This window comes from Homo sapiens, chromosome 3 (assembly GCF_000001405.40).
Source record: "Homo sapiens chromosome 3, GRCh38.p14 Primary Assembly".
NCBI classification, from domain to species: domain Eukaryota; kingdom Metazoa; phylum Chordata; class Mammalia; order Primates; family Hominidae; genus Homo; species Homo sapiens.
This window is the reverse complement of record NC_000003.12, coordinates 99,055,066-99,068,263: the sequence shown is the minus strand read 5'-3', so window position 1 is coordinate 99,068,263 and position 13,198 is coordinate 99,055,066. Positions and strand designations below refer to the sequence as shown.

The 13,198-nt window shown below is 40.4% G+C and overlaps 1 annotated feature.

Moving 5' to 3' along the window:
• Positions 3,405-3,905: an enhancer, noted in NCBI's record as "H3K4me1 hESC enhancer chr3:98783203-98783703 (GRCh37/hg19 assembly coordinates)". NCBI's record gives its function as "activates a minimal SCP1, AML or CMV promoter by ChIP-STARR-seq in primed H9 embryonic stem cells {active_cell/tissue: H9 hESC(primed)}" and the evidence as "EXISTENCE:reporter gene assay evidence [ECO:0000049][PMID:30033119]".

Sequence of the window (13,198 nt, the reverse complement as noted above, 5' to 3'; positions counted from 1 at the left end):
GATTAGGGCAGGTGGATAGTGGCCTGAAGTGTGAAAGCCCCTATAAGGGAGATGGTAAGGTTTGGACTATGGATTCCTCAACCCATATTGGGCAGTTATGCATATGAAAGGCATGCTAGAAGAAGAGTTTTTTGCTATCTCCAGGAATTAGCTAGCCCTGGGAGGAACAACCACTCCAGGGTCAGCAAGTCTCCAGGGTGTCAAAGCATCAGAAAATAAAAGGCACAGTTGATACACTGCATTACCTATTCCAAATTGGTAGTAATTTCTGAGCTGAACATAGGTTTAGATTTGGATTATGACTCCAGAACCCAGGTGAGGCAATAAGACCTGGAAAACTAACTTGAAGTCTAAACACAGCAGGTTCTCAGTTTCAGGTTTGCTGAGGGACTCAGCACACATCAATGTTATTTTTAAAGGTGAAAATGAACAGGAGCTGGAATAATAGAAAGGTAACATGGAAAGATGATGAAATAACCCTCCCATCATGCTTGGCATCAGTGAGACGATTGTTAAAGTGTTTCTGCCTGGTTTACAGCTCTACTGCCCCCATCCTCAACCCAGAGGGAGATGGAAAATTCTTTCAACTGCTAAAGAGCAACCAAAGACAGGGTGGGAAAATTGATCTACCATCATCTGTATTCATGGGAAAGATAGTTTACAAACCTGTTGTCATTTTATAATACAGTTAAAACTACATTTTTGTTTGAGAACATCTGAAGTGGTCAAGCAAATATTCACACACCTCCATTCTTCCTTTCTTTGCTGAGATCAAACTCCCTTTTCCTCACACCCATTGTGTTCACCTAAAGGTCTGGAAAAGTCAATTTGAGAATGTGTATTTCCTCATTGTGACTACATCAAGTAAAAATCTGTTCACCGATAACTGAAAATTTGCTCACTCTCTCTGAAATATTTCTTGCAGCAGTTCACAATTTAAACTTTAGAACACAAACCTGGGGCAATTTGTTGAATAATAGTCACCTCCTTTTAATATATCTTACCCTCTTGCTTCTTCCCCTGGTCCCAGTGTACTTATAGTCCCCCCTCACATGGTCTGGCTGGGTCAGGGCCTTCCTTGCTTTCGTGACCACTCCATCGATGCATAGAGCTGCTCTTGCCTCCCTGCTGCTAACGTTAAAGTCTTGAAGTTGCCAACCTATATCGAGTCATCTGAGAGAGGACAATGTGTTTTCTGTAAGATAAGCAATATGGTGGATGCACAGGCAGATTCACACTCTGAGTCCACATGCCACATAACACTGACACCAACACTCCCCTGCATTTTTCTGGGAAAGTGATATCTATTTTAACAAATGCATTAATTAAACAGTTAAATAACTTTTGTGTGTCAAATATCATTTTAGGACTTTTAGGGTATAATAAGAGGCACAGAATCTGATCAGCTTTCAATGAATTTGCTATTTAACTTTAGAAACAACCAATTTATACCCGTGAAAATTTAATATGTGAGTTATATATCAGTACAAAACAAGCCCCCAAGGCAGTTTTGAATTAATTGCCAATTAAGAAGAGTAGGTAACATTTGTGGGCACAGTGGCCTGGGAAGATGCCATGAAAGAGGCAGGATATGTGTGAGGCTTTTAAAAATGGGTAGGATTTAAAGAAGAAAAGCCAGACTGGGGGTATGGAGGAAAGACAGAGAACAAGGCATGATAACAATAAGCCCAGGCAAAGAAGAAGATCCTGATCCTGACTGTTTGTCAGGTTTCAGGATGAGAGCAGGAGAAAGAGGATAGAGAGTAACATTATAAAAGTGGCAGTTTGGGAAGATTTATTTCAAGATACTAAAATCTCTAGGTCTCCCTGTTAGATCCAAGTGCCCACTATTCCTTGTAAGATGCTCAGAGCTAATCCACCATGGACCACACCCCCAGCCTTCCCTCCCTTCTTATTTGCCAAAGGAAGAGAATCCCCAGACATCTAAACTGTCATCCCTCAAACAATCTGAACCTCTTTACCCTCTAACTCTGACTCTACCCCTTTTCCCTGCCTTCAGCAGTATCCTCAGGAGTTTCAATGAAGAGAAAACTCCCTCAAATCCTCAGCCTTTTGAACATATGTTGCCTCTCTTCCCTTATCTCCTCTAAGAATGCATCCTCTGCAATCCTCTCCAGTGGAGGCTGTAGTTTCTGCTACACTCCCACCTCCCCTCCTTTTGAATTTCAAGGTTAGGAGGGATAACTGGTGTTATCCTACAATGGTCTTCCATTACTCAAAATTGACCCCTTATTAAAATATATAGATAGACAATGCATATATGCACACATACCTTGCTTCTGAGGCTTATGCAATCAGCCAATTAGCTGTAACCCTCAACATTCATCGTTGCTGTCATCAACAAACCTGCCAGGCCCTACCCTCATTCACCAAAGATATTGTTGTTGGCTCATTCTTCCCCTTTATCCCAATTCTTGCCATTACCCTGGTTGAATTCAATATCTTGTCATTTTCTTGCAAAAATCATTCAGTGTTTCCCACTGCTCTTGGTTCTGAGCATGGTCTACACTTCCCAGCAGGATAGTAACCAATCTCTTAGCAGATTCCATGTATTCATTCATATTGGCCTTCTTTAAGTTCTTGGAAGACCCCAGGTTCATTCCCGGTCAGGATCTTGCAGGTACTGGGCTCCCTTCCAAGAACACTGAGACCCATCCTAGCTCCCAAAGACTCCTACCCCCTTCCTTCCACAACCCTAATGTTGAGGAAGTCCAATTCATCCTTCAGCTCTCTATTCAAATGGCCTATTCACAGGTTGAATGTTTCCATGCTAAACTCAGCCCCAACTTACCTAGACTAAACAGTGATTCCCAGCTGAGGGACAATTTGGCACCCCAAGAAACTTTTGTTTGTCACAACTGATGAGTGCTCTGAAGAGTACTTCTAGCATGTAGAAAGCAAAGGCCAGAGTGCTGCTAGTCATCTGTGAACAATGTTCACAGCACGGTCCCCACAACATAGAACTATCCAGTACAAAATGTCAATAGTGCTAAGGTGAGAAATCCCACATGAGATCAGAGGTGCACCCTGTACATTCTGTTGCAGTGCTCATCACATTTATAGTATTATTCATTTAATGTCTGTCTTTCATGTCTATCTTGATCACCATGAAATCATAACTACATACCATTTGGAACACTCTGGTGACCAATACCCATTTATGCACAAGAGAGAGACAAGAAAAATTGACAAGAAAAGAAGTCAGGTAGGAAAACACCAGTTAGGAAAGCTTCAATAATTCAATAATGAGGAAAGTTTGGACTAGAATGTTGTAAGTGAAAATGGTGAGAGTGCGGGGCATGGTGGCTCATGCCTGTAATCCTAGCACTTTGGGAGGCTAAGGTGGGAGGATTAATTGAGGCCAAGAGTTCAACACAGTCTGGGCAACATAATGAAACACATCCCTACAAAAAAATAAAAGAACTATGGAACAAAGATGGCCGAATAGGAACAGCTCCAGTCTACAGCTCCCAGTGTGAGCGACACAGAAGATGGGTGATTTCTGCATTTCCATCTGAGGTACCGGGTTCATCTCACTAGGGAGTGCCAGACAGTGGGTGCAGGACAGGGGGTGCAGTGCACTGTGAGCGAGCCAAAGCAGGGCAATGCATTGCCTCACTGGGGAAGCACAAGGGGTCAGGCAGTTCCCTTTTCTAGTCAAAGAAAGGGGTGACAGATGGCACCTGGAAAATAGGGTCACTCCCACCCTAATACTGCGCTTTTCCGACGGGCTTAAAAAACGGCACACCAGGAGATTATATCCCACACATGGCTTGGAGGGTCCTAAGCCCACAGAGTCTCGCTGATTGCTAGCACAGCAGTCTGAGATCAAACTGCAAGGTGGCAGCGAGGCTGGGGGAGGGGCGCCCACCATTGCCCAGGCTTGCTTAGGTAAACAAAGCAGCCAGGAAACTTGAACAGGGTGGAGCCCACCATGCTCAAGGAGGCCTGCCCACATCTGTAGGCTCCACCTCTGGGGGCAGGGCACAGACAAACAAAAAGACAGCAGTAACCTCTGCAGACTTAAATGTCCCTGTCTGACAAAATTGAAGAGAGCAGTGGCTCTCCCAGCACATGGCTGGAGATCTGAGAATGGGCAGACTGCCTCCTCAAGTGGGTCCCTGACCCCTGACCCCCCAGCAGCCCAACTGGGAGACACCCCCCAGTAGGGGCAGACTGACACCTCACACGGCCAGGTACTCCTCCAAGACAAAACTTCCAGAGGAATGATCAGACAGCAGCATTCGCAGTTCATGAAAATCCACTGTTCTACAGCCACCGCTGCTGGTACCAAGGCAAACAGGGTCTGGAGTGGACCTCTAGCAAACTCCAAAAGACATGCAGCTGAGGGTCCTGTCTGTTAGAAGGAAAACTAACAACAGAAAGGACATCCACACCAAAAACTCATCTGTACATCACCATCATCAAAGACAAAAAGTAGATAAAACCACAAAGATGGGAAAAAAACAGAGCAGAAAAACTGGAAACTCTAAAAACCACAGCGCCTCTCCTCCTCCAAAGGAACGCAGTTCCTCACCAGCAACGGAACAAAGCTGGACAGAGAATGACTTTGACGAGTTGAGAGAAGAAAGCTTCAGACGATCAAACTACCCCAAGCTACTGGAGGAGATTCAAATTAAAGGAAAAGAAGTTAAAAACTTCGAAAAAAATTTAGACGAATTTATAACTAGGATAACCAATACAGAGAAGTGCTTAAAGGAACTGATGGAGCTGAAAGCCAAGGCTCGAGAACTACGTGAAGAATGCAGAAGCCTCAGGAGCCGATGTGATCAACTGGAAGAAAGGGTATCAGTGATGCAAGATGAACTGAATGAAATGAAGTGAGAAGGGAGGTTTAGAGAAAAAAAAAATAAAAAGAAATGACAAAGCCTCCAAGAAATATGGGACTATGTGAAAACACCAAATCTATGTCTGATTGGTGTACCTGAAAGTGACGGGAAGAATGGATCCAAGTTGGAAAACACGCTGCAGGATATTATCCAGGAGAACTTCCCCAATCTAGCAAGGCAGACCAACATTCAGATTCAGGAAATACAGAGAACGCCACAAAGATACTCCTCAAGAAGAGCAACTCCAAGACACATAATTGTCAGATTCACCAAAGTTGAAATGAAGGAAAAAATGTTAAGGGCAGCCAGAGAGAAAGGTCGGGTTACCCACAAAGGGAAGCCCATCAGACTAACAGCAGATCTCTTGGCAGAAACTCTACAAGCCAGACGAGAGTGGGGGCCAATATTCAACATTCTTGAAGAAAAGAATTTTCAACCCAGAATTTCATATCCAGCCAAACTAAGCTTCATAAGTGAAGGAGAAATAAAATCCTTTACAGACAAGCAAATGCTGAGAGATTTTGTCACCACCAGGCCTGCCCTAAAAGAGCTCCTGAAGGAAGCACTAAACATGGAAAGGAACAACCGGTACCAGCCACTGCAAAAACATGCCAAATTGTAAAGACCATTGATGCTAGGAAGAAACTGCATCAACTAATGAGCAAAATAACCAGCTAACATCATAATGACAGGATCGAATTCACACATAACAGTATTAACTTTAAATGTAAATGGACTAAATGCTCCAATTAAAAGACACAGACTGGCAAATTGGATAAAGAGTCAAGACCCATCAGTGTGCTGTATTCAGGAAACCCATCTCAGATGCAGAGGCACACATAGGCTCAAAATAAAAGGATGGAGGAAGATCTACCAAGCAAATGGAAAACAAAAAAAGGCAGGGGTTGCAATCCTAGTCTCTGATAAAACAGACTTTAAACCAACAAAGATCAAAAGAGACAAAGAAGGCCATTACATAATGGTAAAGGGATCAATTCAACAAGAAGAGCTAACTATCCTAAATATATATGCACCCAATGCAGGAGCACCCAGATTCATAAAGAAAGTCCTGAGTGACCTACAAAGAGACTTAGACTCCCACACATTAATATTGGGAGACTTTAACACCCCACTGTCAACATTAGACAGATCAATGAAAGAGAAAGTTAACAAGGATACCCAGGAATTGAACTCAGCTCTGCTCCATGCAGACCTAACAGACATCTACAGAACTCTCCACCTCAAATCAACAGAACATACATTTTTTTCAGCACCACACCACACCTATTCCAAAATTGACCACATACATGGAAGTAAAGCTCTCCTCAGCAAATGTAAAAGAACAGAAATTATAACAAACTGTCTCTCAGACCACAGTGCAATCAAACTAGAACTCAGGATTAAGAAACTCACTCAAAACCACTCAACTACATGGAAGCTGAACAACCTGCTCCTGAATGACTACTGGGTACATAACAAAATGAAGGCAGAAATAAAGACGTTCTTTGAAACCAACGAGAACAAAGACACAACATGCCAGAATCTCTGGGACACATTCAAAGCAGTGTGTAGAGGGAAATTTATAGCACTAAATGCCCACAAGAGAAAGCAGGAAAGATCCAAAATTGACACCCTAACATCACAATTAAAAGAACTAGAAAGGCAAGAGCAAACACATTCAAAAGCTAGCAGAAGGCAAGAAATAACTAAGATCAGAGCAGAACTGAAGGAAATAGAGACACAAAAAACCCTTCAAAAAATCGGTGAATCCAGGAGCTGGTTTTATGAAAGGATCAACAAAATTGATAGACTGCTAGCAAGACTAATAAAGAAGAAAAGAGAGAAGAATCAAATAGATACAATAAAAAATGATAAAGGGGATATCACCACTGATTCCACAGAAGTACGAACTACCATCAGAGAATACTACAAACACCTCTACCCAAATAAACTAGAAAATCTAGAAGAAATGGATAAATTCCTCGACACATACACCCTCCCAAGACTAAACCAGGAAGAAGTTGAATCTCTGAATAAACCAATAACAGGATCTGAAATTGTGGCAATAATCAATAGCTTACCAACCAAAAAAAGTCCAGGACCAGAGGGATTCACAGTCGAATTCTACCAGAGGTAGAAGGAGGAATTGGTACCATTCCTTCTGAAACTATTCCAATCAATAGAAAAAGAGGGAATCCTCCCTAACTCTTTTTATGAGGCCAGCATCATCCTGATACCAAAGCCTGGCAGAGACACAACCAAAAAAGAGAATTTTAGACCAATATCCCTGATGAACATCGATGTAAAAATCCTCAGTAAAATACTGGCAAACCGAATCCAGCAGCACATCAAAAAGCTTATCCACCATGATCAAGTGGGCTTCATCCCTGGGATGCAAGGCTGGTTCAATACATGCAAATCAATAAATGTAATCCAGCATGTAAACAGAACCAAAGACAAAAACCACATGATTATCTCAATAGATGCAGAAAAGGCCTTTGACAAAATTCAACAACCCTTCATGCTAAAAACTCTCAATAAATTAGGTATTGATGGGATGTAACTCAAAATAATAAGAGCTATCTATGACAAACCCACAGCCAATAGCATACTGAATGGGCAAAAACTGGAAGCATTCCCTTTGAAAACAGGCACAAGACAGGGATGCCCTCTCTCACCACTCCTATTCAACATAGTGTTGGAAGTTCTGGTCAGGGCAATTAGGCAGGAGAAGGAAATAAAGGGTATTCAACTAGGAAAAGAGGAAGTCAAATTGTCCCTGTTTGCAGACGACATGATTGTATATCTAGAAAACCCCATTGTGGCAGCCCAAAATCTCCTTAAGCTGATAAGCAACTTCAGCAAAGTCTCAGGATACAAAATCAATGTACAAAAATCACAAGCATTCTTATACACCAATAACAGACAAACAGAGAGCCAAATCATGAGTGAACTCCCATTCACAATTGCTTCAAAGAGAATAAAATACCTTGGAATCCAACTTACAAGGGATGTGAAGGACCTCTTCAAGGAGAACTACAAACCACTGCTCAAGGAAATAAAAGAGGATACAAACAAATGGAAGAACATTCCATGCTCATGGGTAGGAAGAATCAATATTGTGAAAATGGCCATACTGCCCAAGGTAATTTACAGATTCAATACCATCCCCACCAAGCTACCAATGACTTTCTTCCCAGAGTTGGAAAAAACTACTTTAAAGTTCATATGGAACCAAAAAAGAGCCCGCATCACCAAGTCAATCCTAAGCCAAAAGAACAAAGCTGAAGGCATCATGCTACCTGACTTCAAACTATACTACAAGGCTACAGTAACCAAAATAGCATGGTACTGGGACCAAAACAGAGATATAGCTCAATGGAATGGAACAGAGCCCTCAGAAATAATGCCACATATCTACAACTATCTGATCTTTGACAAACCTGAGAAAAACAAGCAATGGGGAAAGGATTCCCTATTTAATAAATGGTGCTGGGAAAACTGGCTAGCCATATGTAGAAAGCTGAAACTGGATCCCTTCCTTACACTTTATACAAAAATTAATTCAAGATGAATTAAAGACTTAAATGTTAGACTAAAACCATAAAAACCCTAGAAGAAAACCTAGGCATTACCATTCAGGACATACACATGGGCAAGGACTTCATGTCTAAAACACCAAAAGCAATGGCAACAAAAGCCAAAATTGACAAATGGGATCTAATTAAACTAATGAGCTTCTGCACAGCAAAAGAAACTACCATCAGAGTGAACAGGCAACCTACAAAATGGGAGAAAATTTTCACAACCTACTCATCTGACAAAGGGCTAATATCCAGAATCTACAATGAACTCAAACAAATTTACAAGAAAAAAACAAACAACCCCACCAAAAAGTGGGGGAAGGACATGAACAGACACTTCTCAAAAGAAGACATTTATGCAGCCGAAAAACATATGAAAAAATGCTCACCATCACTGGCCATCAGAGAAATGCAAATCAAAAGCACAATGAGATACCATCTCACACCAGTTAGAATGGCAATCATTAAAAAGTCAGGAAACAACAGGTGCTGGAGAGGATGTGGAGAAATAGGAACACTTTTACACTGTTGGTGAGACTGTAAACCAGTTCAACCCTTGTGGAAGTCAGTGTGGCGATTCCTCAGGGATCTAGAACTAGAAATACCACTTGACCCAGCCATCCCATTACTGGGTATATACCCAAAGGACTATAAATCATGCTGCTATAAAGACACATGCACATGTATGTTTATTGTGGCACTATTCACAATAGCAAAGACTTGGAACCAACCCAAATGTCCAACAATGATAGACTGGATCAAGAAAATGTGGCACATATACACCATGGAATACTATGCAGCCATAAAAAAGGATGAGTTCATGTCCTTTGTAGGGACATGGATGAAACTGGAAATCATCATTCTCAGTAAACTATCACAAGAACAAAAAACCAAACACCGCATATTCTCACTCATAGGTGGGAATTGAACAATGAGAACACATGGACACAGGAAGGGGAACATCACACTCTGGGGACTGTTGCGGGGTGGGGGAGGGGGAGGGATAGCATTAGGGGATATACCTAATGCTAAATGACTTGTTAATGGGTGCAGCACACCAGCATGGCACATGTATACATATGTAACTAACCTGCACATTGTGCACATGTACCCTAAAATTTAAAGTATAAAAAAAAAAAAAGAACTAGTCAGGAATGGTGCTACACGCCTGTGGTTGCAGCTGATCAGGAGGCTGAGGAGGGAGGATTACTTGATCCAAGAAGGTCAAGGCTGCAGTCAGCCATAATTATGCCAAACATTGTAGCCTGGGCAACAGAAGAAAGCCCTGTCTCAAAAAAAAAAACAAAAAAAAAACAACAACAACAAAAAAAAAAAACAGAGAAAGAAAAGAGGAGATCAAAGGATGAAAGAAAGAAAGGGAGAAAGAGCGGAAGGAAGGAAGGAAGGAAGGAGAGGGAGGGAGGGAGGAAAGAAGGAAGGAAGGAAGGAATGGGGCAGAAGAAAGAAAGAGAGAAAGTGAGAGAAAAAGAAAATGGTGAGGATAAAAGCCAGGAAAGAGACATCTTAAGAAAGAATCGAAAGAACACATGAATAATTAGGTATGAGTAATGAAAAAGAAGTATCAGAAAAGAAAGTTGAGGCTTGAGCAGTCTCAAATGGAACAAATAGAGCAGTTTTATTTTTTATTGTATTATTTATTGTTCTTTTGTATCAGAAATTATTTGAGACAACTTAAAATCAAAGACATATAAAGTAACATTAAATGAAAAACAGCAGCTTAAGTGTCAAATAATGGGAGCAATCAATACTGATCATTCTTAGCAGCAACCTGAAAGAAAGGTAAGTGCTGCAAATTAATATGAAATAAAAATCTGAGCTTTCTGAGAGCCAAGACACAAAGCAAATCATAAACATGATTGGTCTCCACCTTCAATGAACTTTGGCCACACTTCATGCTATTTTCTTCAGTTATTTTGTTATTAATATTCTTAATTTTTGTGTTTCTTTGATTAGGGAAGATAAATTTTCCAGGAACTGAAATCTAAGAAGAAAGTATCCAAATGATTTTCTTAAGAAACATTATGCTACAGTGCAAAATGTTTTCAGTAGTAATTTTACTGAAGTGCATAAATGTCTCTCATGTGAGCTTCTTTTATTTAGGCTCAGGATTAATTAGTGTTATGAAGGTGTCTATACATCAGTGATTCTCAGCTACATGAGGGGCTGCTGGTGTGTGGTGAGGACAGGGGGTTTTTCAAACCGTGTTCATGCCCTTCTGCACTAGCCCTCCAGCTCTCCTGACATTAGACTCACTCATGGAGCCAGTGAGACAGTTGTCTCTCATCGGTTAAGTGCTTTTCACTAGATATCCTGTTGGAGAATTAAGGGGAAGGGTTGGAATGGGGATGAGGGGAGTGAGTGGGGATCTGTGAATGGGATTTGCAGTACAAAGAATTCTCTTTCCACCTGCTTGTACAGTTCTAAACAAATATTTCCTTAATAAACTCAGATGTGATTTTTCTAATTTGCCTCTGGATTTTACATGGGATTGACTGTAGTGTAATAGGTGATGTGACTGATCAGTAGTCATCCCTTTTCCCTACTTCACCAAGAGTTTATGAAAATCCTTGATCTGAAGAAAGAATTAAAACTATTAGATAGAATCATTACTAAAGTGAGTTCCAGATCAAGCTATGATGTAACAGAAAATAAGTATCTTAGATATTTCTAAACCCATGGCAATGAATGGCACACTCAGATCAATATGTTCAAAGAAGAATCATCAACAATTTCCTGAGCTAATTTTTATTATTAATCAGGCCATCTGAACATTCTAGTAATCACCTGGAAACAACCTAAAATCATTTCTAACTATAGGTTAATGTGGATTTGGGACAAAAATTTTTCCCTTAAAACATCTCTAAGATTAGTGTATTCCAGTTCTATAATGTGAATATTGGCTGGCACATTGCTGACAGTTAGAAAGAATGCAACGGCTAAATACCATGTGCAATTTCTCAAATCACAAATTTGAAGGATGGTTTGCGTCATGTCCCAACAGGACATTTTTGGGAAAATAAAGTGTTGTTTCTTCATAACTATTGCAGCTAATAAAATTCTAAGCCAGCTAGATAATTTTCTTTCATTGGTTAAATGCATTGTCACTAGGTATTTTGTCGGAAAATCTTGTTAAGAAGAAGGGCTGGGAAAATGCGTGCGCTAGGAGCATGTGTGGGGGTGTGGTACAGAGAACTCTCTTTCCACCAGCTCATACAGTTCTAAAGCACATATTTTCTTATTAAACTCAGATGTTATTTTTCTAATTTGCCTCTGGATTTTTAATGACATTTACTCCAAACGCAACATTTAATAGCTCTGTGAAAATAATAACAAAATTGAACAGAAGGGAAGTGTTTAGTACGAAAAAGTTGGATTTAAATTCATTTTCCAAGTTCTCTTCTTCCCTTTCCCCTTTCGTGTTTTGCCACTGACAATAATTCCAGTGTCAACAATGAGAACCTTAGGGATAAGTCAAAATATAAATGATCTACATTTATTTGGTTAACTGCTGGAGGAAAGACAACATCCCGTTTGAAGTTCATTATTAATTGAGATTAGATCTAAACCTTCCCAGTTAAAATGGATTTATGTGGACTATTCTGGCTTCCAAAATCAGCTTGGCAAATTTATGACACTATTGTCTGAAAGTAGAGATATAATTTATTGAAACACTTTATTTTAACCCTAGGTTGGATTCACATAGTGTTGTGTGCTAATTGCTCATTGGTAGTCAATAAAAACATTGAAGCTCAAGAATTAGGCATTGTGGTTTATGGCCTGCCTTGCTATTACTCAAAGTTCCTGTGTTCAGGACAGACATAGGCACCCTCTGTGGCGCCAGTGTTTTACTACCTTCTGATAACTATCCTCTCACTGCTGGGGGTCACCTGCCAGCGTCCCCCTCCCAAGCCACCCTGCTTTAAGTAGTATTGCATATTCCAAGTGACATCGTCCTTCTTTCTTACCCTCTAGGAAATCTCCTGAGTTGGGTGCACTGACCAACACATCTCCATGGTACTAGTTATTTCACTATGCTATCGTTGAATTGATATACATGTGCCTCTTTAAATGATGAGATATTTGAGGAGTCACATTCATCCTGGTATCCCCAGCTTTAGATAATACTTGGCACATCGTAAAGGTTCATTATTTGTGGAAGAAACAAAGATGAGAAGGAAAGAAAGAAGGAAGAAAAGAAAGAAGGAAGGAAGAGAGGATGGAAGAAAAATAACAGGAAGGAAGAAATGAAGGAAGCAGAAACTCTAAGAGAAATACAATCCTACGTAAATATTTATTAAAATAAAAACAACTGTAGCCACCTTAAAAGAACAAAACCTCAAGAAAGGTTTTATTTTCAAAAGACACTTAGTAAAACAAAATATAAATTTTTAAAGGTGGAATTTCAAGTTCTCTATTACATTGGTAAAACAAATGCTTGAAGTCAGGAAGCTTTCCTAATGCCTCTTAAATCACTCCATATTTACAGCTAAAGTAAATGGGCCTCAGTAAATGGGACCCTGCCTGTGTTCCCCATTTATACCTGTTTGCAATGGAATTTTCAAAGGTTTGGAGAAGGGGACATTAAGGGTGTTCACCGTCATATAGAGGATGAACCAGCAAAGTCCCAAATAAAGGTTCACAAGCAGATGAGCAAGTGAGTATTGGAAAGCCAATACTTCAAATTAGTGGAACTACTCTTTAGTAGTCCTGGAAGTGACCACT